General features: G+C 46.3%; 1 annotated feature.

The window, feature by feature from the left end:
- Positions 210-710: an enhancer, noted in NCBI's record as "H3K4me1 hESC enhancer chr6:54874207-54874707 (GRCh37/hg19 assembly coordinates)". NCBI's record gives its function as "activates a minimal SCP1, AML or CMV promoter by ChIP-STARR-seq in naive H9 embryonic stem cells {active_cell/tissue: H9 hESC(naive)}" and the evidence as "EXISTENCE:reporter gene assay evidence [ECO:0000049][PMID:30033119]".

Genomic DNA, 3,648 nt, shown 5'->3' with positions numbered 1-3,648 from the left:
CTGTAATCCCAGCACTTTGGGAGACCGAGGTAGGTGGATCACCAGAGATCCGGAGTTTGAGAGCAGCCTGGCCAACTTAGTGAAACCCCGTCTCTACCAATAAATGCAAAAATTAGCTGGGTGCGATGGCGTATGCCTGTATTCCCCGCTACTCGGGAGGCTGAGGCAGGAGAACCGCTTGAAACAGGGAGGCGGAGGTTGCAGTGAGCTGAGATCGTGCCACTGCACTCCAGCCTGGGCGACAGAGTGAGACCCTGTCTAAAGAAAAGAAAAAAAAAATTAACTTCGGGTGGGGCCAAGATGGCTAATTAAAAGCAGCGGTGCTTGGAGTCTACCATAGAAAAAAAAAACATAATAAGCGTGTGAAGTCTTCACCTGCAACCAAGGTATCCAAGTTCGCTCATCAAAATTGACTAGAAGGCTGGCGTGACCCACGGATAAAAGGAAGAGCAGTGTGGTGTGGCGACCCACCTGAGAGCGACAGGGGAAAGGGGTACCCTGTCCCCACAAGCCAAGGAAGGCGGTGAGTGAGCGCGCTACCCAGCCAGGGAGACTGCTTCTTCCACGGAACTGTGGAACCCTTGGATCGGAAGATCCCACTCACGAACCCACGCCACTGGGACCTAGCTTCCCAACCCGGGAATGTGAAGATTCTTCAGCCTCTCAGCTGGAATCTGCTTAAGCCTACCAAACTCCCGGGGAAAGGGGCGACCAGAACAAGCTGCAGCTGCCTGCTGTCTAAGCCATTTGAGCTCCTTGTGGGAGGGGTAGCAGCCAGCACTGGGACTTGCAACTGCCTAACACGCTGAGCTCCCTGGGCGGGGGGAAGGGCAGCACCCATTTCCATAGTTACAGGCTGCACTTTTCCCCTTCTGGAGCCAGGGAGGCTGGATGGCTAGGTCCCAAAACTTGTCCCCACAGCCCAAGTCACCGGCTGTGGCTGTCTGCAGTTAGAGTGCCTCTTCAGGTCTAGCCTTGACCCATCCTTCCTCAGTGGGTGGGGCTTTCCTGCAGGATCTCCAATAACTCCAGCCAGGGGCTCAGGGACAGAATTTGGCTCTCCCTGGTCCTGAACCCCTAGCGGGAGGGGTGGCCACAGTCTCTGTGGACCAGCAGACTTAGCCTCTACTCCTGGTAGTTCTGAGGAATCCAGGCAGCCCAGACAAGTGGGTTTCCCCCCAGCAAAACACACCCTCTCCACCAAGGGACAAAGTGCTTCATTAAACAGGTCCTGCTCCCTGTGCCTCCCAACTGGGTGAGACCCTCCAACAGGGGTTGTCAGACACCCTATAAAGGAATGATCCTACTAGCATCAGATTGGTGCCCTTTGAGGTCAGAGGTCCCGGAAGAAGGAGGAGGCACCCATCTTTGCTGCTCTCCAGCCTCCTTGAGTGACATCTCCAGGCATGGGAGCAAATCAGATGAATAAGGCCTAACGTGAAACCCCAGCAAACTGCAGCAGCCCTACAGAAGAGGGACCTGACTACTGAAAGAAAAACAGACAAGCAGAAAGCAATAGCAATAGCATTAACAGCACAACAAAGGCCCCCACAAAAACCCCATCCAAGTGTCAGCAGCTTCAAAGGCCAAAACTAGACAAACTCATGAAGACAAGAAAGAATCAAAGAAAAAAATGCTGAAAACCCAAAAGGCCAGAGTTTCTGTTCTCCTGGAAATGATTGCAATGTCTCTCCATCAAGGGTGCAGAACTGGATGAATCAGTTGGATAAATTGACAAAAGTAGGCTTCAGAAGATGGGTAATAAAAAACTATGATGAGCTAAAGGGGGCATGTTCTAACCCAATGCAAAGAAGCTAAGAACCTTGATAAAAGGTTAGAGGAATTGCTAACTAGAATAACCAGTTTATAGAGGAACACAAACGAGCTGATGGAGCTGAAAAACACAGCATGGGAAATTGGTGACGCATACACAAGTATCAAAAGCCAAATCAACCAAGCGGAAGAAAGGATAACAGAGTTTGAAGACCACCTTACTGAAATAAGACATACAGACAAGAATAGAGAAAAATGAATGAAAAGGAATGAACAAATCCTCCAAGAAATATGGGACTTCATAAAAAGACCAAACCTATGATTGATTGGAGTACCAGAAGGAGATGGGGAGAATGGAAACAAGCTGGAAAACACATTTCGGGATATTATCCAGGAGAACTTCCTCAACCTAACAGCCAACATGCAAATTCGGGAAATACAAATAACACCATTAAGATGCTCCACAAGAAGTTGAACCCCAAGACACATAATCTTCAGATTCTCCAAGGTCGAAATGAAGGAAAAACTGTTAAGGGCAATAAGAGAGAAAGGCCAGGTCACCTACAAAGGGAAGACAATCAGACTAACAGCAGACCTCTCAGCAGAAATTCTACAAGCCACAAGAGATGGGGGGCCAATATTCAACATTGTTAAAAAAAAAAGAAAACAATTTTCAACCCAGAATTTCATATCCAGTCAAACTAAGCTTCATAATTGAAGGATAAATAAAATCCTTTCCAGACAAGCAAATGCTGAGGGAGTTTGTTACCACCAGGCCTGCCCTGCAACAGTTTCTGAGAGAAGCACTAAATATGGAAAGGAAAAACTGGCATCAGCCATTGCAAAAACACACCAAAATATAAAGACCAATGACACTACGAAGAAACTGCATTGAGTAGTGTGCAAAACAACCAAATAGCATAATGATGACAGGATCATATTCACACATATGTGGGGCATGGTGGCTCATGCCTGTACTCCCAGCACTTTGGGAGGCTGAGGCAGCTGGATCACTTGTCAGGAGATCGAGACCAGCCTGACCAACATGATGAAACCCCATCTCTACTAAAAATACAAAAATTATTTGGGTGTGGTTGCACACGCCTGTAATCCCAGCTACTCAGGAGGCTGAGGCAGGACAATTGCTTGAATCCAGGAGGCGGAGGTTGCAGTGAGCCAAGGTTGCAGTGAGCTGAGGTTGCAGTGAGCCAAGAGCGTGCCATTGCACTCCAGCCTGGGCAACAAGAGTGAAACTCTGTCTCAAATGAATAAATAAATAAAATTCACACATAACAATACTAACTTTAAATGTAAATGGACTAAATGCCCCAATTAAAAGGTACAGACTGGCAAATTGGATAAGGAATCAAGACCCATCAGTGTGCTGTGTTCAGGAGACCCATCTTACATTCAAAGGCACACAAAGGATCAAAATAAAGGGATGGAGGAAAATTTACCAAGCAAATGGAAAGCAAATAAAGCAGGGATTGCAATCCTAGTCTCTGAAAAACAGACTTTAAACCAACAAAGATCAAAAAAGACAAAGAAAGGCATTACATAATGGGAAAGGGAACAATTCAACAAGAAGAGCTAACTATTCTGAATATATATGCACCCAATATAGGAGCACCCAGATTCATAAAACAAGTTCTTAGAGACCTACAGAGAGACTTAGACTCCCACACAATAATGGTGGGAGACTTTAACAACCCGCTCTCAGTATTACACAGATTAACAAGACAGAAAATTAACAAGTATATTAAGGACTTGAATTCAGCTCTGAATCAAGTGGACCTAGTAAACGTCTACAGAACTCTCTACCCCAAATCAACAGAATATACATTCTTCTCAGCGCCACATGGCACTTATTCTAAA

The sequence above is a fragment of the Homo sapiens genome, chromosome 6, assembly GCF_000001405.40.
Source record: "Homo sapiens chromosome 6, GRCh38.p14 Primary Assembly".
NCBI lineage: Eukaryota > Metazoa > Chordata > Mammalia > Primates > Hominidae > Homo > Homo sapiens.
Note: the sequence above shows the minus strand (reverse complement) of the source record. Positions and strands in the feature narration are given on the sequence as shown.